The sequence below is a fragment of the Homo sapiens genome, chromosome 18, assembly GCF_000001405.40.
Source record: "Homo sapiens chromosome 18, GRCh38.p14 Primary Assembly".
Classification (NCBI taxonomy): Eukaryota; Metazoa; Chordata; class Mammalia; order Primates; family Hominidae; genus Homo; species Homo sapiens.
The window spans coordinates 40,060,027-40,084,616 of record NC_000018.10 but is presented as its reverse complement, the minus strand read 5'-3'; the positions used below and the strand labels follow the sequence as shown (position 1 = coordinate 40,084,616).

The 24,590-nt window shown below is 38.0% G+C and overlaps 2 long non-coding RNA genes across 2 annotated transcripts in view; one reads left to right on the top strand and one right to left on the bottom strand.

Annotated features, from left to right (window-relative positions):
* The window catches only part of LINC01477 (long intergenic non-protein coding RNA 1477), a 32,948-nt gene extending 14,617 nt beyond the window's left edge, over positions 1 to 18,331 (bottom strand). Inside the window, exons 1-3 of the long non-coding RNA NR_110791.1 lie at positions 17,510 to 18,331; positions 14,198 to 14,258; positions 1,845 to 1,965 (exon numbers count right to left, since the gene is read on the bottom strand). This is a non-coding gene — a long non-coding RNA (long intergenic non-protein coding RNA 1477). The remainder of the gene's footprint in view (positions 1 to 1,844; positions 1,966 to 14,197; positions 14,259 to 17,509) is intronic.
* LOC105372081 (uncharacterized) lies at positions 18,152 to 20,222 on the top strand. Its single transcript, XR_935407.2, has 3 exons — positions 18,152 to 18,415; positions 18,657 to 19,045; positions 20,136 to 20,222. It is a non-coding gene; the product is annotated as an uncharacterized LOC105372081 (long non-coding RNA).
* The last annotated feature ends 4,368 nt before the right edge of the window (positions 20,223 to 24,590 follow it).

The following is a 24,590-nucleotide window of genomic DNA, read 5'->3' as shown; positions in this document are numbered from 1 at the left end:
TAAGGGGTCATATGAACCCCAACCTGAAGCCGGTTGTACAGAAGTTCCAAAGGCCCAAACTTATAACTGTTGTCTGAAGGTGGGAGAACAGTCATGGGGACTGAGCCCTCAACCTGTGGGATCTGACTGTATATCCAGGTAGTGTCAAAACTAAATTAGAAGACAGCCAGCTGATGTCTGCTGCTTGGCATGCAGGGGAAACCCTCACATTCGGTCACAGAAGACTTCTGTGTTGGTTTTCTTCTGTGATGATTGTTATGTGGTATAAGAACAGAGAAAAAACAGTTTGAATTTTTCCTGAAGCAGTAGGTTTTCAGTCAATCTTTTAAAAATTGTGTACTAAACCTCTCCCCGGTCTCATCATGCACTTTTAAATTTATTTTGCCTCATAATAAAAATAATTTGTGAATACGGCTTAGATGAAACCCAGATTAGTAAGCCTTGACTCTAGACCCAGATGGCCTGGATTCAAATCCAAGCTATTGTGAAAATTAAAGATACAATGTATAGAAGATAGCTTATATCAAACAGCCAGACATAAACAGTATTCCATATGTATGAGGCATTTTATTTGTGTCATGACTCAGGGCCAGCTCCCTAGGCTTGCAACCTGTGCAGTCAAACCCAGGTCTGTCTTAAAAGCGGACCATATTTGGTTTAATGTCCTATTGTCACTGTTTTGGATTCCTAACACATTTTATCTTTGAACTTGTGTTTTATAAGTGACGTTCAATGGGACAATGGAGCAAGCGTGTGTGCAGAGGAGATTCTCTCAACATGCAGGATTACCTTCCTTGCTAACCATTTGCATTTAAAATTCACAAGGTACCAAGAACACAGAATTCCAAAGGACCCAAAGTGAATTGGAGTGCAATGAGACTGAAAAGTACAAGGTAAGTGTGTAACATCTATGACTGACTGGGGCCACACTTTTCCCAAGAGGCCACACTTTCCATTTGAACCAGAAGTTGCTTTGAATGCAGAGTAAAGATGTGTGCAGTCTAAGAGTGACGAACAATTGAGAATGACTGTCCTATCTTTTCTTACACAAGTCACTTCCCTGTATTTCAGCTAACAACTTACACTGAAAATAATGCCCTAGTTGGAAAGAGAAAGTTAGGGCAACACATAGAGAGTATTGGTGGAATGCAAGAGTATCAGAAAGTACAAAGTATCAACAAACAGTTGAGTTAGTTTTGTACAGTGTTTCCATTGTTTTGGTAAGAACGAAATATATATATGAATATATGTCCTTGAAATACAAATTGTGCAATTCTGGTGATTCCATATACAATTTAAATGTTCTTACATTTGAATTTAAAACTGAAATCGTACAATATAAAGATGAATAGTAATATTCATGCTAATCATTTAAATTTAATGTTTCAAGAATGGCATTAAATAGCAAATTTTAAAAAACATATGGTAAGTCAATCAGGAGACCTGGAATAAAGGAAAAACCTTATATTTCAATATCTTATGGTCACATTTTTCCTGCTTTTTAAACTGGAACCCTGCAGTTCCATTTTGCACTAAGCCTCAGAAATTATATAGCCAGATCTCCCATCGTTATTATAATCATTATCAACAGGTCTGGGCTGAAGCTGCATAGTTAAAAATCACTAGGAAAACTAGAAATAATCTTGCACATTTTTAAAAATTGCACAAATATTGGATTCTGAGGAATGTCAGATTAATTATTTTATATTTTGTTCACATTCCCCTCATGAAGAAAGTGGCAGCATAGTGTTTCGTATCATCCCAGCTGGAATTGGCCTCTCACTTCTCTGAATGGATGCATTATTCCAGTTGGACCGCTCTTGTGGCAGAGAGCTTATTCTCACCTGCATTGTGGTTACTCATGGTGCCTCAACTCTCCAACATCCTGAGCCTTGGGGGCATCCTTGTAGCACCCTTTATGTTGGTCAGACTTTCATACAGTATCGTCTTGTCTTTTCCTGTTGACTGAATGAGTGAATAGGCCAATAAGTTGAACAGACTATAGATTTCTGTAATAATTACTATGGGAAGAGGGGCATGCCGTCCTGAGATATTACACTGAGTTCTGGTTTTGACTGCATTTATTCTTTCACCAGAAAGAAAGCAGCAACATGTCAGTTATCATAGAGTGTTGTCTTCATCTCTCAGGAATGGGGCTGTTTGATTCCACTGTTTCCATTTATTACTGTAAGATAAATAATAGTTCTTCTAATTGAAAATGAGCAGAGAAGCTCTGACACAAGTGAGCACAGAGACACTAGACACAATTTCTAAAGGTAAGAACTGCCTAAGTCCGTGTTCAATGGATGCAGCATCTGCCCTATTTAAACATCTTCAAATCCAGATTCCATTTATGTAGTCCCACCCCGACCAGTGGAGACTTTCACCCCATATATTGCGCTGCACAATTGACTTGCTGCCTTCTGGGGATGGGGGGAGTTCGCTCTCTTCCAGTGCTTCATGTATCATCTGGTGCCAGAGGCAGTGAGAATACAACATTGGTGGACCAATGGACTGATCTAATATGGCAAATCCTATATTCCTGTTTGGGTACAAATGAATAACCTCATATAGTTCTGCACACATTCAACAAAATGATGAAAGGGAGAAAAAAGCCAAATGGAATTTCCTGATCATTGCATTCCATTTTATTTCTCTGTTTAAACTTTGTAAGTGAATTTAGTGTCTGTAGAAGGCAATTGATGGCTCTAACAGAAAAGGAAAGAAAAATGTTAAAGCCCCAAACCACAATTTGAGCACTGTTAGGCTTGGTTATCTTCCCTTGCTGGGATCCTCAGCAGGATTCTGCACCTTACAGACTGCAAATGTCATCTCAGCATTTTAGGGACAAGGGCTGTAGATTCTGCAGGATAGGGCTGCAACCCTATGCCTGCAGCCTTTTATTAGTAGGGAATAGCGGGTAGGGGCAAAGAGGGAAGGAATTGACTACCGGTATTTAAAGGAAAAGAAAGGCTGTCTCAATTTTGCTTTAAATTTCTCAAATCTCTCATATAAGGGATTATGCTTCATGCCAATCATTTCAGCTTCTTCATAGCCCACCCCATGAATATTTTCAACTTCTAACATTCTAGAACGTCCTACTATTTGCTTTCTCTGCCTAACTTATTCCTGTGCTGTATTTCTTTGTCCTACCTCCTGCATGAAGTCTTCCCTAATCAACCCAGACTGTAATATCCTTCTGTCACTGTAAGTTTCTGAAAAAGGTGTTATATATTACCTGTTTGTCATCGTGTTCCTCTGCACTTTAATTTTGTTTTTCACAAATATATGTTTCTTCCAATTAAATAAGTTAATTAAGAGAAGGTCTGGAATCTTTATCACCCACAGTTCCTGGCAATGCCTTTTACATAATAAGTTCATAATTAATATCTGTTAATAAAAATTACTGCTATTCTTAAACTGAGTATATGGAGACCATCTGCTTAAAATATATGTGTGTTTGTGTGCATGTGCCTAAGTAATTTTTCTCCATATATGTATATTTTAAATATTCAATAAAAGGATAAAAAAACAGTTGATTTTTCTCACTTTGATGTATCTACACAGCCTGAAAGTAGTTAAAAGACAGAACCTACATTTCCAAGTGCCAAGGTCCACTATAGACTTAACTTGTCCCAAGAGCAGTCTTATTTTCTCCCCCTATTGGGCGTCAAGGACCAGGAAGTCTGATTCCAACATGGTTATATGTGGAGGAAAAAAGGAAGAAAGAGGATAAATTATCCATTATAACCCAATCAGCTGATTTAAAAGATCAGTCTGTATTAGCCACAGGAGCAGACAAAATGTGCAGGACAAATGTGCAAAAGGCCCAATGGGCATAAATAGTATATGCAATACAAGGAAGCAATACTGCAGAAAGAGCTCAAAAATAATTGAATGTGAACACTATACACAAATCCAGATGAGATTCGAGCTGTGACCTTGAGGTGAAAAGGCTCCTTAAACTGCAACCAAAGCTTTCTATTCTGAAGGGATTAAATCTCTGAAAATTATTCTCTTTCTTTGCATTCATGTTTCACACTCTGTAATGCTCACATAAAAAGGGCAGATATACCCACACTTTGGTGTTTACTTTCTTGTGTTTCTTTTCTTCCCAGATAGCTGATATCGGCTTTACTGTAGATCAGTGTGGGTGAGCCTTTTTCACCTTTTGATTATGGTTTATAATTGTCAATACCAGGTTAGCAAGCTTTCTGATGGAAATTACCAGTGCACGGAAGAATGATAAAGCAATCTTCTCGGATGAGAGAAGTATAGACTCTGGGGTCCAAGTCATCTTTTCTAGGGCTCACAAAAATTATGAGGACATATTTAATAAACTTTTGCATGAAAATTGTAGCAGAATATCCCTCAATCCTATTGCCTTTGCATTGCAAACTAGACAATACCAGCAGAGAATGAAAATGTTCAGAAAGGCTAGGCAAGGTTTTGGCCTAACTGCTTTTCTGTGGCCTCATAGTTAAATTTGAATCCAACTCTAAAGACAGGGTTGCCAGTGGCATTTACAAATTTGATTCTTCCTGTCTCACAGGACAGGTGGCAGTGATCACAGAGCTCAAACTTATTTTGAATAGCAGCTACCACACAGACAGTGGTTTCTGAGTTCAGAGCTTGAAAGGATTAAAACTGGATTAGGAGGAGGAAGAATGTTTTCCCAGCGGGCAATATTTATAACAAGGAGAAGGCTTTTTCCCACCCACTCTACAAGAATAACACAGATAAAAAAATGAATCCGAGCAATGATTCTCAAAATGGCAAGATGTGGGCAGACTGAAGAAATACACCTTTCTAATTCCCAGGCAATTTATGTGTGTATGCCTAAGTATCCAATTAGCAGGCACAGATGCCATTTTGCATTAAAAATATAAGGTTTTACAACTGCAAACCAGCTGCACCCATAAATTTCACCAAACACTTTGCAGAGGTCTACCAAGAATTTGGACCTGAATATTTTATAACTATTTCCCTCAGCATTAAAATAATCAAAAATTGATCAGCATATTTTTTTGTCTGGTAAAATATTTTCCTCAAAGAAGAATAGGAAATAACAACATATGTGCAGTGGTAAGCCTCACAGAAATCAATGGAAATGGATTGTTTCTGACCCACGAAAAGCCTACATTGAACAACCGCTCTTTCTAGTGGAAACTTTTGCAATGATAGGAAAATTCTATAGCTCTATTTTTCATTACAGTAGCTACTTGACAAATGTGGTAATTGAACACTTAAAATGTGGCTAATGCAAGTGTCAGGGTATATTCTTACTTTTATTTAATTTTAACTAGTTTAAATAGCCACATGAGGCTGGTGGCTACCACACTGAATAGCATAATTCAAATTATTCATGCTGTTACTATATCAATAAACAAACAAATGACAGTCTGAAATCAAATAGACACCTACTGATTTCTAGCCATGTGACTCTATACAAGTTAACCTGTATAAGGCCATTTATTTCATAAAGCCAATAATAATGGTTCTTCTAGTATTGATGGATAATTAAAAGCACAATATATTTAAATTATTGGACCTCTTGTCTGAAAAAAAGTGGGTTGTTAATCAATGTTTTTGCATCTTCCCTATTTTCCCTTTCCTACCTTTCTAACTTTTTTCTTTTCTTTCCTTTCTTTTTTTTTTTTTTTTTTTTTGTTTGTTTTTTGAGACGGAGTCTTGTTCTGTCACCCAGACTGGAGTGCAGTGGTACGATCTCGGCTCACTGCAAGTTCCGCCTCCTGAGTTCACGCCATTCTCCTGCCTCAGCCTCCCGAGTAGCTAGGGCTACAGGTGCCTGCCACCATGCCCAGCTAATTTGTTGTATTTTTAGTAAAGACAGGGTTTCACCGTTTTAGCCAGGATGGTCTCGATCTCCTGACCTCGTGATCCGCCCGTCTCAGCCTCCCAAAGTGCTGGGATTACAGGCGTGAGCCACCACCCCCGGCCTTCTTTCCTTTCTTCTTTTCTTCCTCTATTAGATAAGGAAGAAGAACCAAGAAAAGTAGCAAATATAGAGTATCCTCAATATATTGCCCAGTATCCAATAAGGGATAATGCTATATCTGTTATTTCTTCATATACTTTGTTCTAAATCAAAACTTTACATGAAGGTTCTCACAATCTAACCTAACCCACAGGCAACATTTAGGAAATAATACACAATACAGTCAATGTAAAGTGTATAGGCCAGGCGTGGTGGCTTATGCTTGTAATCCCGGCACTTTGGGAGGTCAAGGCAGGTTGATCACTTGAGGTCAGGAGTTCAAGATCAGTCTGGCCAACATGATGAAACTCCATCTCTACTAAAAATACAAAAATTAGCTGCATGTGGTGGCAGGCACATGTAATCCCAGCTACTCGGGAGGCTGAGAATTTCTTGAACCTGGGAAGTGGAGGTTGCAGTGAGCCAAGATTCTGCCATTGCACTCCTGAGTGACAGAGCAAGACTCTGTCTCAAAAAAAAAAAAAAAATATATATATATATACATATATTAAATAAATAAATTGTACTTACTTCACTTGTTGTTCTTTTAATATGTACAGTATTAAATTTGATAAAAAAATTGTCCAATGACTTCATGAGAGGAAAAATGATTGTCATTGGACCTAGAAGAATAGGTTCAGACAGTGAAATGTCAGGAAAAACTAAAACAAAACAAAACAAAATAGAGAAGGAAAACAAAATGGGGAATAATTGCATATAGTTTACATTTTTAGTTTTGATATATTTAATAAATGTTGGCAAAGCTTAATTGTCAATGTTTAGAAACTTATTTGTTCAAATGAAGGAATTAAGCCCCCTATGAAGATGTGACTCAAATAGGACGAGGAAAACTTCCCAACTCTCCCATCCTCCTCCTTTCCCAGGCCTTCCTGCTTCACAGCTGCTTGGGAAGAAGACACATCAACCAGGGGCTGGTTTTAGCTTGTTGTTTCTTTGTACGCTCCTCACCCCAATGTGTTTCTTCTTTTCTTCCTCTTTATTCTGTATTTTATAATTATTTTCTTTTCAATTACACTCATTTTTATTTGTGTATTTGCTTGTTTGTTTGACTGTTCCATTTTCTCAATACATTTTTCTCTGGGTATAGTCAAGACGACTTAGTGACTTTGTTTGAAAAGTTGTATTTTGTGCTTGACAAGAGTTGGAAGAGAGCTTTAAGTAGTTGATTTGTACATTAAGTTTTCACTTTCCTTTTGAATCCTCAGGAAAGATGATCATAGAAATTGGCCATGTAACTAAAACCACCAGAAACTCTTGATCTGTTTGGAGGCAAATGACCCTTATCAACATGAGATTATTTGTTTTTACTAATGTTGAGAACCTGAATTACTCTAATTTACAATTTAGATTGTGCACCTGTTGAAGGAGGAAAGGTATCCCACAGAAGAAATGAAAGAGGTAGCTAGCATTTCACAAAAGTATAGGAGAAAATGCTTTCTTATAAATAAATTGAATAGAGCATGCACCCACACATAAATGTGGAAGCTTCAAACAAGTGGATCACAATTTAAAGAATAACTAAGATATTCATATGGAGCGTAGCAAAGACCCTGATGAGAGAATTGCTTCATGGTATAGAACAGCATGAGATAAAAATGGGATGGATAGACACAAATGGGTCAAAGGTCAATGACAAAAGGATCCTGGCTGGCTTAACAAAAATATTGTTTTTCATCCCCCCCCTTCACAGGTTTAAGGTTTCTTCCAAAGCTCCTGGTAAAGCATAACTAGCACCTGCCCCAGAACTCTGCAGTGTCTTTGCATCTAGATGTGCACACTTCTTAACACCTCAGACATTCCATTTAGTTGTTAGCTCTTGAGTTCAGTGGTTCTCAATCAATTTTTCAATTATCTTCATAAATTTCAGGTTAAGAGAATTTGAATGGATTAAGATGTTCTTACCTGACTAGGATTGTCAAGATGTTGAGTTTAAGCACAAACCTGGGTGACGGGCCTCTCTGTAGGACATGTCTGAGATCAGGGTGTTCTTTTTCTGCCTTGATTTGCTACTCATTAAACATGACCTTTAGGAAAATATCAGCGACCCTACAGCAAATCGTTGACTCAGATCAAACATAAAAAAAAAAAAGAAATAAAGAGGATACCAAGATCCAAAAGAAAATATTTTTACTGATGTTCTCTGATATTTGCACAATTATTTAGACCTATTCATATAATTTTTATATTACTAACTCTGTCCATTTCTCTCACCAGCTTCTGGAAAGACATCATGCAAGCATTATATTCTCCATTTAATAGATGCAGAAACTAACATCCAGAAAATAAGTGGGGTGGTTGAGGTCCCTCAGCATAAGGATGACAGAGAGAAAACAAAAACTCTGTTCCCTTTTCATAATGCAGCTTTTTCCCCCCCTTTGATGGCCTCATATTAAATTGTGCAGGAAATGCAAAGGAATACAATCCAAATAGACTCCAGGTAGGCGGGAGACCTTCTCTTAGGCTCACATCAAAGAGTGTCTTTATATTAGAAGGTAGGCTCTTGTTTTTAAAGTCTGGCATGTATTTTTTTTTCTTTTTCTTTTCTTTTGTTGCAGTCATTAAAATGTGCCACTGGTACCCTGTGTGCTGACTGTTGGGAGGTTTCTAAGAAAGGCATTGTTATTTATTATGTTCAAGAGGGTTTGTGGAGGAATAAATTGCATACACATAGTGTGATGGCAGCTGGCAGTCAACTGTGACTGCTGTTGTGCACTTCACAACATGTTTTATGTGGCTGGGAACATTTACATTAAGGTCAATTAGGTTGCCAAAATAGAGAATCGCAGCTGAGGGATGCTTAGTGGAGTGCATTGGTGTTTGGCAGGGGAAATGGAACTGATAATCCTACATGTGCTTGGTCTGCCAGCTGGTGGGTGGTCTCAGCCATGCTGCTGGAACACTATTCAATTCAATTCAGCAAATATTTATTGAGTAACTAGATTGTGCAAAGCACCAGGCAAAGTGCTCACGGAGAGGCAAGTCAGCACAAACCATGACGTGGGTCTTAGAAAGGTTTTTGATAACAATAGATCCCAATATCCAGCAATGATTACAGGATCACCATATGCTGGACACTGTTCTAAATGTTCCATATGTGTTTACTACCATAATGTTCATAGAAACATTATAAAATAAGTGCTCCCATTTCCTTATTTTATCAATGAGGAAACTTGGTTGGTGAGGTAGAAGAGTCATTTGTGCCTTTGTAAGAGTTTTCATAATTTTCTCTCTCTGGGCATATGACAGATGGCATTTCATTGTTACTTTGAAGTTGAATGTGGCCATTGTCTTGCTTTAGTCAAAGATATGTGAGCAGCAGTGATGTGTGTCACTTCTTGGGAAAGTGTTTAAGAGGTAGTGTATAACTTTTCTGCTGCCGTGGTCCTCATTTACCTTCCAGACAATGAAGACTCCATCAGTCTGGGTCCTGGAGTAAGGATGAATTAGAGCAGGGACATCACTGATATACAATACACACAAAGTATAACATAATTTAAGCCTCTGAGATTTTAAAGTTGTTTATTGTAGCACCATAACGTAGAATGGGCTGTCTAATAAAAGGTAGGATCAAGAATAATACACATAAGAAGTTAATTGACAAAAAATATATAGTACATGATTAAGTTTCAGCAAAAAATACCAATAATGAAAGCAGCTCTCATTTTTTAAGTGCTTAGCTAGTTGCATACATTTTCTTTAGAAACAGAAGCTCAGGGAGGTTAGTGGAACTACTTAAAATAATGTAAGAAGATACAGAACTATGAACAAATCCCAGTCTTTTTGGTTTCCAAAGCTCACACTGCTTCTAGTATATTCTGGAAAGAGTGCTGCAAAGGGATCACACTTCAATCCTATTTTCTTTCTTTCCTTTTCTCTTCTTTCCCATTTCTACTCTTTCCTCCTTTCTCCCTTGTCTCACTTCTTTAATTTCTTTTTCCCTCCCATTATTTTTCCCTACTTTCTACCTTCTCATTTTATCCAGATATTTATTGTGCATTTTCTTTATGCCCATGTAAGAGGTGTGGACTTTTCCTCAGTGTTGTCTTCCCATTACTATTCCTTGGCTGAAGTAATTCTTTAATCTCTCCTCTTCAGCCCTGTTTTTCTGTTTGTTTGTTTGTTTTGTGTGATTTTCTTTCTAGCTATCACTGCCTTACAAAACTGGACACCAACTCTCAGCCAAATAATTTACAGCATTATATTATTTTCTTTCCATCTTGGTTCTTTTCACACTTGGCTAACTGCAAAGTTGAGCATAACCTCCTATATTTTCAAGAACCATGTTAATGCCTACAACTGGGAAAAAGCAAAAAGAAGTTTTAAAAGACGGCAATAAAGAAATTAGTGTTGAAAGACAGTACAAAAGTAGTGATAATAAATTGCATGGTTTTCTTCTTACTGTCTGCTAGAATTTTCTCATTAGTCAGTTAGGTTAGACTCAGATGTTTTGCCTTTCCTCAATAGAATCAGCTCTTCCTGCACCAAATTGGCATAACACTATATGAAGATCACCAGAGTTAAGGCCAAATTTGAGTTATGGAGTCACAGTGTTTTACATAACTCATTCAATTCTTTTTTTAAAATTGGTGACTAGAAATTTTCTCCATTCTTACAACATTCTGTATTTCCACTCTAGAACTTCATTAACAATCGTGGATTCCTTTTGGAATCCATGATTCAAAACTGTTAGAGAGAAAGCTTTCTTTCTTTCTTTCTTTCTTTCTTTTTTTTTTTTTTGACAGAATCTCCCTCTGTGGCTCAGGCTGGAGTGCAGTGATGCGATCTCAGCTCACTGCAGCCTCTGTCTCCCAGGCTCAGACCTCCTGAGTAGCTGGAATTACAGGCACATGCCACCACACCTAGTTGATTGTTGTATTTTTAGTAGAGATGGGGTCTCACCATGTTGGCCAGGCTGGTCTTGAACTCCTGACCTCAAATGAACTGCCTGCCTCAGCCTCCCAAAGTGCTGAGATTACAGGCATGAGCCACCATGCCTGGTGTGAGAAAGCCATTTTTTTAACCCACAATGTGTCATAGTATTTGCCATATAATATTGAAATTGTATGTTCCTTCATTTAGCCCCCAAAAAACTATCAGTATGTTTATAGTGAACATCAAGATTTATTCATCTTCACATTGACATGTGCCTAGCCCTTCCCCTAGCACATCGGTGGCCTTCAGTAACTGATTGATAAGGCAAACTAAAGTGATACTTAACAGTTTCTTCCCTTGACTATAGTTCATTGCACTGCTGCCTTCTATTTTTAAGAGGTGACTTTAGTTCCAACCCACCTCAGTTTCTGCAAAATTCCCTTTTCTCTACAAAATGTCTCTTTTTCAAGACCCAGGTTGACAGTATATTTACTCAATAGTCACTAATTAATTATTCCAAGCCCAGTAGATTTTCTCAGTGCACTTTAAAGGGGCTGGCTTCTTTCCTATTTTCCTAAGTTAATTTTGTATGAAAATCTCATTAGCTTCTTGAAGAGGGCACTAGCAACTGGAAGCTTATTGCTGGGGTTTAAATGTGTGCCATTCAAAATTCAGGTGTTACCAATGTGATAGTACTAAGAGTTGAAGGCTTTAAGGGGTAATTAGGACATGAAGCCTCCTTCCTCAAGAATAGGATTTAGACCCTTATAAAAAGGCTTCACACAGCATTTGGCCTCTTGCCCTTTTGTCTCCTGCCATGTGAGGACACGGCATTCCTTTCTTCTGGAGGATGCAGTCTTCACTAAATAGCCAGTCTTGCAAAGGCCTCGATCTTGCACTTTTCACTCTCTAGAACTGTGAGAAATAAATTCCTTTTTAAAGTAAATTACCTAGTCTGTGATATTTTGTTATAGCAGCAGAAAATGGACTAAGACGCCTGTGTCCTTTCCAAGACTCCCAGTAGACTCACCAAGATAGGTCTTTTTCTTTTCTCAAATGGCCTCAATGTTTTTATTCAACAACAAAATATAATTTGCATATGCTGTGCCAAGTGCTAACTCAACTTTTTTCTGCTTCAGTCACATGACTCATTTATCTACCAAATTCTCAGAATTTGCTCTCCAAATTCTCGTTTGGAAAAAAAAGAAATCATTTCTACAGTCTACTATTACAGTTTGGCAATATAAGAATATTTAAAGCATATTAATAACTAATAATGTGAAGATTCAAAATCGTTATTTTTAAGGGGATGGCTGTATGGTTGATCTGAGCAAAAGTTTTGGAATTAGACAGACTTAGGTTAAGATCCTGGCTGAGCCATCTGTCAGATGTCTTCAAGTTACTCATCTCTGAGTCTTCAGTTTTTCATCTATAAAATGGTAATAAAATACAACTCAAAATTCCTATCATGATTAAATGCAATAACAGCTGGAATATTGTACTTCTATAATAAATAGAAGCTCTTGCTATTATAATATCATTTGTGTAAGCACTACTTGAAGAATCAAGATCTGAGAGAAGTAAAATAATCAAAGGAAGCACATTTCCTTAGACCCCTCCCAAGAACTTTCTCTTTTGTTTTCCTTCTTTGAAAGATGTAGAAAAATCCATCCACTAGGATAAGATCTGATGGAAGAGAATGCCTCTTAGTTTTATCATCACCATGGGTGGATTTTGATAAATGTTTGGTCAATTAGAAACTGAAATTTGTATCCTTCTTGCAGAAGTCTCCTCTCATGTCTCTTCACGAGATGCCTGCAGCACTGGGGCCTATCCAAATGGCCAGGCCCTTTTCAGTATTAGATGACCAGAAGAAAATGGAGTCAGCAACACTGCTGTCTGCCCTTAATACCTTATCTCAATAACTTCTATCAGAACAACACCATGAAATAACACATTAAGTCATTTCCTAACAACTTAACACCAAATTGAGAAATAAATTATAACAAAGGTGGAACAAAGTTGGAATTCTGGCTAGTTTATACCTGCAGTAACCATTGCAACGCACCAAAGGTATGTATGTCTATATATATATATTACTGTCCCAGTAGGGTATTCTCTAATCTCAAATGGAAGAAGTTGTTTCCCAGGGTACATTTGGAAATATCTGGAGAAATTTTGATTGTCATAATGGAAGGAAGGGGATGCCACTTACATCTGGCGTTAGAAGCCAACAATGTTAGTAAATATCTCACAATGCTCAGGACAACCACCCTATCACAAGAATTATTCAGCTTCAAATGTCAGCGGTTCTTAGGTTGAGAAGCCCTGTTCCAAATTATGTATACACTTATCACCAATTCTTCAATATCAGGTTTGAATCTGGAACTCATTGCCACACTTCAAATCTCTTGGGTCAGTGTTTTAGTTTGTTCTTACATTGCTAAAAAATTAACTGAGACTGGGTAGTTTATAAAGTAAAGAGGGTTAATTGGCTGACTGTTTCACAGGCTGTACAGGAAGCATGATGCTGGCATCTACTGGGTTTCTGGGGGAGGTCTCAGGAAACGTACAATCATAGAGGAAGGCAAAGGGGGAGGGAGGTATCTCACATGTGAGCAGGAGCAGGAAAAGAGTTGGCTGAGGTGCTACACACTCTCTCTTTTTTTTTTTTTTTTTTTTTTTTTTTGAGACAGAGTATCACTCTGTTACCCAGGCTGGAGTGCAGTGTCATGGTCTCAGCTTCCTGCAACCTCCACCTCCTGGGTTCAAGCAATTCTCCTGCTTCAGCCTCCCGAATAGCTGGGATTAGTAACCAGACCTCATCAGAACTAATTCGCAATCACAAGAACAGCACCAAGGGGCTGGCACTGAACCATTGATGAAAAAACACCCCCTTGATTTAATCATCTCCCACCAAGCCCAACCTCCAACACTGTGGATTACAGTTGAATATGAGATTTGGGTGGGGACACAAATCCAAACCATAGCTTTCAACAAAACTTGACTTCCTTTCTTCCACAGCAGAAGGTCACACTTCCTTGTTTTTTTCTTCCTGAGTCCCCAGTCTCAGAGTGCTCCCTGGTAGTTTCTGTCTACTCTCTCTATCTCTGGGTAGAGGATGGTATCATTCATGGGCCAAGGTCAAAAATGGGGTCTCAAATTTTAGTCCAGTCCTTTTAGTAAGTGTATTAGTCCATTCTCACACTACAGATAAAGACATATGCAAGACTGGGTAATTTGTAAAGGAAGGAGGTTTAATTGATTCACAGTCCTACAGGGTTGGGGAGGTCTCAGGAAACTTACAATTATGGCAGAAGGGGAAGCAAACACATCCTTCTTCACGCGGTGGCAGGAAGGAGAAGTACTGAGCAAAAGGGGGAAAAGCCCATTATAAAACAATCAGATCTCATGAGAACTCACTCACTATCACAAGAACAGCAGCATGGGGATAAACCACCCCCATGATTCAATTACCTCCCACTGGGCCCCCCCATGAAATATGGGGATTATGGGAACTACAATTCAAGATGATATTTGGGTGGGGACACAGCCAAACCATATCAGTAAGACTATATTATACATAAGAATCCTATAATGTTAAGGATCTAATGATAACCTTGCATTTCCAAACAGTAGATCCACAGAAACTATGTCTTTGAGATGTTCATATTTAATGGAAAAATAAATTTCAAATATCTTAACATTTGGAAAATGCTATGATGAAATTAGACAGATTTCTTTACTAAAGGACTTTTCTGGGCTTTTAATATGCTATTTTGTCTTGATAATCCACAGTAAAAGATGATGTATGAATCTTCCTTAAATATATTTCATCTCAAAATTTTTTTAAAAAAATAATCTTTCTGGACTCTTGCTCTGTAGTTTGCAACTTCGCAAATTATGACTTATCTAACTTGCTCATTTGACTGAGACCCAGAAAGTGAAAGGACCCATTCCAGCTTACGTGTCCAGGTTTTTCCAGGGAGGGGATCTGAATGTAAGAGTGTTGACTCTAATTCATTGTTCTTTACAATACATGTTAGATGACAAAAGAAAGTATTGATCTAGTGCATTCTTACCCTGCAAGCATTTCCATTTAATTGAATTTTTTCTTTAAAATGTAAGTATTCACACATTGACATATGAATAACTATAAACTGGTGTATCATATGCTGCCCTCTTCATGTATTTATTGACATAAAATATTTTGGTTTACAACTAGGTTTACACATGTTTGTTAACATATTTATGCATGCCTAAACCAGCTGTAGTTTTGTTAAGATTTCCCTAAATATTATCAGCTGAAGAAAAATTGTACTTATATTGGTGGAAATGATTTACCTAGTTCTATGAACCCATAATATTTTACATTCATATAAGAATTCTTTGGGATTATTTTATAGTGGAATGCACCTTATTTCACTAAAATACTTATTCTCACAACTTTTTCCTATATGATGTTCTAGGTAATTAAACATAGGTTATTAGAGTCTTATCTTGGGCCCACTCAAAGCAGAACTTAAGGAATAAAGGTGAGGAAAAAGAGGAAAGGAGGTAAGCAAAGAGGTGAACATTTTGATGTGATATGCTGTCATGTGGCTGCCACTCTGCAATGAGCTGCAAAGGTTTCTAACCTTTGTTATTTCTACTTTTCTACATTTACCAACATATATTGCTTAATTTGTCAAATTTCTAATTTTTAATAAAATCTCAACATAATCCACTTTATTTCCAAACTCAACTACCAAATTCTCAAGTTTTCTCTGACCTATTGGAAGGGAATTGATTTGATCCTTTTTCTGAAATTTCTAAGTGGCATATTCACATAGATCTTATTTATTTATTATTATTTTTTTTTTTTCTGAGAAAGGGTCTCACTCCATTGCCCAGACTGGAGTGCAGTGGCACGACCTCAGCTTCCTGCAACCTCTTCCTCCTAAGCTCAAGTGATTATCTTGCCTCAGCATTCTGAATAGCCGGGATTACAGGCATGTGCCACCACGCCCAGCTAATTTTTATATTTTTAGTAGAAATAGGGTTTTGTTATGTTGCCCAGGCTGGTCTCGAACTACTGGCCTCAAGTGATCTGCTTACCCTGGCCTCCCAAAGTGCTGGATTACAGACATAAGCCACTATACTCAGCCTGCATATCTCTTGAAACAGTCAGTATATTTTATGTTTTATAACAGGATTTTCTTTGGACCTGTCTGATATTCCTATTAGATTATAGGAGCCCTAATTTGGCAAATATATTCCCTTTTAAAAATCTCTGGATTTCCCACAGCACTTTCCAGAGGGTCTTGCACATTTTCCAGGAAATTTTAAACTCCATTGACATAAGGCAATTGAAGAAAATGCACAAAAGAAAATGTTTTCTTTATAGAAATCTTAAAAAATTGTTGCTGAAAGGAATAAGTTGATGTAGTTAGAAGTACAGTAGGCCTATGTTTCTAGTTTTTGCTCTGATACTAATTAGCTAAGCAACCTTGAGAAAGACATCTTACCTTTGTAGGCCTTCATTTTCTTATCTTTAAAATGAGCTATAGTGTTTTCTATATGAGCTACCACACAGGAATTTTCAAAAGAACAAACACTATCACATAAATATATTTTGGAGGTGGAGAGCACCATATAATTGCAAACACTATCATGAATAGAAAATAAAAGAGTCTTTGAGTAGGCCAGTACTTTGAAAACATTTAGTCCAGTCCTCTTATGTTAGTGATGAGTATACTGGATACTAGAAGGTTACAGAACTTGTTCAAAGTCACAGAATTGGTTGATGCCAGAGCATAGAAAAAAACACAAGAATTAAATCACCCATTTTATTTCTTTTAAAATTCGACTTCCAGCTGTCCAGCTTACCTGATCTCTCCAGATTATTAAATGGTTTCTCTCCTCCCATCCCCAGTGCTCACTTTCTGTGGCTCATGATTAGTCTCCTCCGACTCTTTGAAGAGGTCAGAGTCACTGTCGTTGGCATTTGTGTAAAATCTTTCTACCCTTCCGTGATTCTAGGCTTTTAGGGTTCAACTTTAAACTGATATCCCAGCCGGTTCCCTGGATGGCTGGTCATGCTGGGATCTTCATCTTCTGGTCTGTCTATACTAAACCAAACTGCCTTGAAAATCATAAATGAGTATCTTGACTTTGCTTATTTGATCACCTGACTTTGCACTTTATTTGAGTAAATCTTCCAGACAGATGGTGCCACCCAGCTGTTTGGGCATTTATACAGCACAGATGACTTTTCTGCCCCACAGTCAACAACTGCCCAAGTCAGCTCATGTCCTCAGCCCTTCCCCATTCTCTGGCATATTTTTGGTGAATTATCATTCAGGTACTCCCAGAGATGGAAAATTAGTCCTTTTAATTGCATTCTCACAATCCATGGGATTTTAAGCAGTAAGATTAGGTACAAAGTTTATCAACAAATTCTGGTCTTCTGGTTTCTAGACAAGTTATTCTGGTACATAATACTATCTTTTGTTATTAATTTTCATTAGTGTTATGATTATTATTTTGAAGAACATGAAAAATAGAAATACCTTATTCATTAACCCACAACTCAATTTGTATTTTTCTCATTCAAGGAAAGGATGTTATATTACTTGCCTTTGAATCTCATCAGCTTATTATTTCTTTTGACAGTGAAAAAAGTCAGGAAATCCAAGCACTTTCTGTTGGCAGTAGTCAGATGAAACTCATATATACAAAATGGAATGAAAAACTGTCTGATGAGCTAGACTTGAGGCAGGAGGACAGGCATCATATATCTTATTGTTTTATTTGCCTTCCTTGATCCTCCAATAACTATTCCCAATTTTGCTTTGCATCATCTGTTCTCCCAAAATATACTCCTTAGGCTTTTATATTTATAGGTCCTACTTGCCTTTTCATTCGTTTTATGTTCTTTTTTTCCCCCTTTTCTTTCCTCTCCAATTATTCTATGGAGGTTTTTTATTGACTTTAGCCTTTGATAGCTCTATGTATTTGAAAGTAGCCATTCACCACCTCCTGTGGAGAAGTACCAATAAAGTGCAAAACCATTATCACAAAACTGTTTCTCAAAGTTTTGTCACATCCCAGACAGTTTCATGAAGATATGCTGAAAAGATTTGTTTTGTTTGTTTTTGCTTTAGGGATTGCTAAGGGCAACAGGCAGTCTTGAAAGGGATTGTAAATCATGACTTATTGTGACACATCTTGTTTGTTGCAGGGGGTATTTGCTTTCTTTGGGCCAAAAATTTCAAAATTTTGTTCAAAACTATTTTTCGATGTCCCATGCCATATCAGAAAAATAGTGCATGTTTTCTTGCCTGAAATGGAGAAAACTCTCCAAATTGCTTTTAAATAATGTCCAATCTCAGGCCAATAAGCACTGTATTAAGTAGTAACAGACTGTGAGGAGACAGAGAGAGACAGAGACTCAGAGACAGAGACAGAGATTCTAGAATATGCAAAGACAACAAATTCCAGAAGGCTATTACAAAATGGAAGCAAGAACTAACGTCTGCCAAGGTAGATCATCTGAATACCTGGACTCTCTAAGGAATGCTCATTGTGTTAGGTCTCTTTTTAGGAAACTCTGTGGTGTTGAGATAGGCCACTGGGAGTTCTACTTGCATGATTTTACTCTGACATGGTGGGCCGCTATTCAGGCAGTGTCAACATACTTGCAGTGATGGAAGATGTTTGGGTTTATTCTGAGTGGAAAATGATGTATTTTTGTTTGTTTGTTTGTTTATCTGTACTTTGGAAGTCCTGATTGAGGAGCCTGAAGATATCCACACTGAGCATTGATCTGTGCATCAGTAAGTCTGGATCTAAAGAGGAAGATCCACACTGGAGCACAGGTCTTCTACAATGTAGTCATCGTGCCCTGTGTGGGGGCCACCATGGGATGGGCCCCAAGAACATGGTGTGAACAACAACAGCAAAAATGGTCTTGACCTCAGAGAGTTCAGGTCTACTCTGATGGGAAAGAAAATATTACACAGTGCCCACCTTTCCGATGGAGCTGAAGGAGACGGAGTCAGAGGGACTTAAAACAGTAACAACAACAACAAAGTGACATGGAATCCATGAAAGGGAGTGTGACAGATAAGCAACTTTTCAACTGTATTCGCATTTATAGAGTGTTTTAGGAAGGTAAATATTGAAAGGAACACAACGAAGTAAATGAAATTAGAAATGCACATTTTATTTTGTGAAAATACAATTTTTTGTCTGTACTAGGACTATATCAACCAGAAAGATAGCTCTCCATGAGACATCATGACTCTCTAAAAGATGCTTATTGTACAGATGATGTTTTTCTAAATTTACAGATCTTTTTCACCTTTAGTGTTTATGCCTGGTATACATTTTATCCTATATTATCTTGCACTTTTATCATTCATGAAACATTCAGCAAGTCTTTACTAGCTCGTTGGTGAAAGCAAAATGAATACACATTTCTCCCCATTTGGCAGACATTTTCTGAGGGTGTAAATTTAATAAAGTTATACTGAGAACTTCTTAACTACCTCCTATACACAAGATATGCACACACTGAGAGAATGGTGCAGATGTGTTAATTAGTATACATAGAAAAGTAAATAACAATTCATGGCAATCATTGTATGTAGGCAATCAGTAGGGTTTCTATTAGATTCATTAGTTCTTTCATTCACTCTTCCAATTATTCATTTGAAATATATCTTCACATTTCATTCAAAACCTAAGATTCTCTGATTGTATGATATGATGGCTTCAAATCCACTCACTTGTCTAGGTTTACCTTGAACTCTTCTTTATGATGTGTGTGCTCTCTTTCCAAACAGCCCTAAGAAAAGAGGTCAGAGGACATAATTTCTCTTTCTTCAGAGGCGTATTCTCTGAAACTCCTGGAAGCATGCTATGAAAGCAAGTAATATTCTCTCCATATCTACTTGCTAAAAGAATTAGTGTATATATGCACATAAACATACAAACAGAGATACATAAATACATGTATTTTCTAAATGTGGTGTCAATATCTCATCAATATTCTGTATCTCATCCTGGATTGAGTTACTTATCCCAAGGAGTCTCTTGCTAAACTGTAGAATAAAGTATCACTCAGGGCATTTTGATATATCCAAATTAATGCAGCTATTTTAATGCCACCATTTTTATCCAGGAGGTTGTTTGTAGAATTTTTTTTATTTGGTCCCATTAAAATATGAACTCACTGCATTTCTTTGTTCTTATTTATCAGGGAGGCCACTTAAGAGAAGTCATAATTATCAGCCCATTCTTGATCCTATCTCCAACACAATTCCCATCCCTCGAGTGAGGTAGGCAAATAAATTTTCCCATTGTGCCTTCATTTGTATTTATGCTTATTTCCTGTCTATTCAAAATTCTCCATATTTTCAGTCCAAATTGCAGAAGAAGCTAGTTTGGTTGGCTTATTTAATTACTATTAACTTTACTGAGTAGAGTCATTTATGGCTGAACATGTTATTGTTCATCATGGAAAGTATGGCTTGGTTACCTTTCAATAACAAAAGCATCTGATCCTGATCTAATCAGTGGCCAACTCTGCCTATAGGATACTTCACTACTTATTTCATAAGCATTGGTTTGTGGATAATGCAGGTTCACAAAGAAACAGATATTGGGTATAGCTTGGCTGACCAAAGGTGCTAATTTGCCTACAACAACCCCAGTTTGCATCCGCTGTTTAGCTCTCCCAGCTGTCTAACTCACCTATCCTTCCTCAAGTATTAATGTAGATACAGTGCCCTTTGTGTCATTGGTTGCTATCTTTCTATATGCATAGTTTCAAGGATGTGCCTATCTAAAATGATCAAACCTACACACAATTATTGCCTTCCAATAAGGATGGAATTCAAAGGCATCTCTGGTTACTATATCCACAGAGAATATCACAGGCTCCTTTAAATGCTGTTTGTCTTGGAATCCACAGTCTCCATATGTTGTATATTTTTCCTCTAATTCCATCATAATTCCACCCAGATGTTACCAGATCATCTATAAGCTATGGACTACATAGTAAATTGAGTTACCAATACAGTTAGTGAAGAGAGGATAATTAGAACACATGCAAACACTTATGAACAATGGCAGTAATAACCAGGCACAGATGAAATCTGAAGTCCTTTTTCTACTTCACAACAGTTTAGCAGTTTTTTTGTTGTTGTTGTTGTTGTTTGTCTCTTATTTTCTCTGTGGCATATTCTTATAGTCTTTGGCTTTCACCCAGAACCCCAGTTGGCTATAACTCTTAGTATAATGGTGTGAGACAAACCCCTGGTTGTTCAGAATCCAAGGCCTTTGTGGTCTTGCCTGTGCAATGCAGTGGTAGACTGTTGTTAACTTTTACCACTGACCATGGTCATACAAGAACCATAGCAGAGATTCCCCAAGTCCCAAATTCACCTGCTATGAAAATTCACACCTAAGATGTCTGCATAGCATGATAGCACCTATGATCACTTGTTTCTCTAAAATTACGGAGTTTTGAGATTGTTAATGTGCAGTTTTAGTTTCCAACTTAATGAAATGTAGGTCTTTTCTCTAGGTTGAATGATACTTCTTTTGCCTTTTATAATTGTAGAGGAGAAAAAGTAAAGATTTTGAAATTTATCCATTAAGAATAATCATGAGAGATTAAATCCAACACCTCCAAAGCACGGTGTCAAGATTCAAGTGTTATTGCAGGGAAAAAAAGAGATAATGTTTCAGATTGCAGACCACATCTTAGAAGCAAGTTCATCAGGAAAACCTCAAAAATCCCATTTTAATAAAGACATTTCACTTCTAGAGCAGTCACTATTGCTTGCTAATCCCAATATTCATTTTTCTATCCCAGTTTATCAAAATAATTTAACTTGTATTCAACTACCCACCCCTCAGGGAAGCTAACACTATTCTAAGTTCCTTTTTTTTTTTTTTTTTTTTTTTTTGGACCAGGTCTCACTGTATTACCCAGGCTGGAGTACAGTGGTATGATCACAGCTAACTGCAACTTTGATCGCCTGAGCTCAAACAATCCTACCTCAGTGTCCCAAATAAGCTGGGACCACAGGTGTATGCAACCACATGCGGCTTTTGTAAAAAATTATTATTATGATTATTTGTAGAGATGAGGTCTCACTGTGTTGCCCAGGCTGGTTTCAAACTCCTGTGCTCAAGCAATCCTCTGACCTCGGCCTCCCAAAGTGCTGAGTTTACAAGTGTGAGCCACTGTGCCCAGCCTATCTCAAGTTCTATCTCAAGTGTAGGCTGGTCGCGGTGGCTCATGCCTGCAATCCCAGCACTTTGGGAGGCTGAAGCAGGTGGATCATCTGAGGTCGAGACCAGCCTGGCCAACGTGGTGAAACCTTGTCTCTACTGAAAATACAAAAATTAGCCGGGCGTGGTGGTGGGCGCCTGTAATCCCAGCTGCTCGGGACGCTGAGGCAGAAGAATCGCTTGAACCCGGGAGTCGGAAGTTGCGGTGAGTCAAGACGGCACCATTGCACTCCAGACTGGGAGAGAGAGTGAAAAAAAAAAAGGCTGGGTGAGGTGGCTCACGCCTGTAATCCCAGCCCTTTGGAAGGCTGAGGCGGGCGGATCACGAGGTCAGGAGATCGAGAACATCCTGGCTAACATGGTGAAACCCTGTCTCTACTAAATACAAAAAATTAGCCGGTCATGGTGGCGGGCGCCTGTAGTCCCAGCTACTCGGGAGGCTGAGGCAGGAGAATGGCGTGAACCCAGGAGGCGGATGCTGCAGAGAGCCGAGATCGTGCCACTGCACTCCAGCCTGGGCGACAGAGTGAGACTCAGTCTCAAAAAAAAAAAAAAAAAAAGTCCAAAAACGAAGTGTAGTAATTCCATTACATTTACCAGTAATTGGTTTAAGGGTGAGCATATAACCCAAAAGGTAGCTGTGTTGAAGAGCTTCTGAAAAACAAGAAAAAAACAAATATATACATTAGATATTACTCACTCTGAAGAAAAGCGACAAGAAAGTTACTTCTACTTCTGCTACATGTTGGTTTGTTGCCATCAGATGTATGTAACTTCAGCAGTCCTTTGAAAGTGAGAGGGAGGTAGGGGTTTCACTTAGAGGAAAACCTGGAGGGCAAGCCCCCAGCCCTGCATGGAAAGTGTCTGTCCTACTGGGGAATGAGCCTAAAGTATGGGAAAACTCAGAGGAAGATAAAACTAACTCTCCCTTGGAGAGTTGTAAAATGTCTCAGAGAAGGTTAATGTTTCAAATGCAAATTAAATATTCGTTCATCAAGGACAAGTATGGCAGGAAAAAGTGAATCAAGTAGAAGGAATAGAATATGCAGAGGTGAAGAGGCTTAAAAGAGCATGTCAGAGTAGAGAAAATTTTTCAGTGGAATATTTAGGGTGGAATGAGTCAGAAATAAAGCTAGAAAAGTTGATCAAGACCAGATACTGGGCGTCATATTAGGAATGGCTTTAAAGGGTGTGAAATTTGAATGTAACTGTTGAGGAGCAGTTGAAAGTGCTTCAAGATTATACATATTCAGATTCACTGTTAGAAAATTTCTTGAAAGAATGAATAGGACAATGTAGACTTAGGAAGCAGGGAAAACCATGAGCAGGCAGTTAGAATAGTAAAATAGGAGAAAAGTGAGGGAACTAAAAGAAGAAATTTGTTTCACTTAATTAACTCTTGCCTTTGAGAAAATTTTATGCCCTGCAGCTGATAAAATGCCACGTAGATTTGAAACCTGGTTTCATTTCTGCCAATTTCTATGGCAAGTCTTTTTATAAAATGCTCACAAATATTTAATGTTTTCAACCTAGGATAACTAACAACTCTAATTTTTGATGTTCTTTCTCTCTTCTTAAAGAATAGCATCAATTGTCTTTATGTTGTTTTTCCTCTTTCCTAAATTACATTGAAAACTTCTGCCAAAGGCATAAAATCGTCATTTAAAAAAAAATTCAGTCAGCCCATCTGTTGCAGAAGTGCCACCTTCCCTGAAGACTGCTAACACAATTTTTTCCCTCTCTGGCAGTAAGTGTTTTTCTAAATTGCCCAGTAGAGTCTTTGAGAGAATCTCAAACTCTTCCCCCAACCTTTTTGGTCTCACTCTCTGAAACATAGGGTAAGACTTAGGCTAGGTAGATGGAAAATATTTTTTCATCACATAAATATTTCTTTCAAGTTGGGAATAACTTAGTCTTTTACACTCTCAAAATGTTCATTATATCTTCACTCTCCTGAGCCTTGCATGAACTTTGCTCTCTACATAGCCTATACTAGTAGGCTTTGATTAGCCATAGCACATTAGGCTCAGGCAAGAGGATCCCTGGTCCTGGACCCTGACTTTAGAGAGCACCTTTGCAACCCTCCTGTGGCATGGCAAGTGGTAGGTGTCCATGAAGCTGTACAGATGTGCTCATTTGGAGCCTGTGGCCCTCATTTGGACAATGCTCCAGGTATCCGGGACCTTGAGATTTTTGGCCAAAACAATCCCAGCCTCATTTCCAAACTGTACAGATCTCTTCACTAAGTGTTGCTTCTGAGGAAATGGTCACTGTACTCACCCTTGGGGAAGGGATGACCGTAGGGTAACTGTTTACAACAGACAGAGACTGAGTTTGATGTTCAGACTCTCAGTCTGATTTTCAGACTGCCATGCTCCTAGCACAGAAAACTGAAGAGTTAAGTAATTCTAAA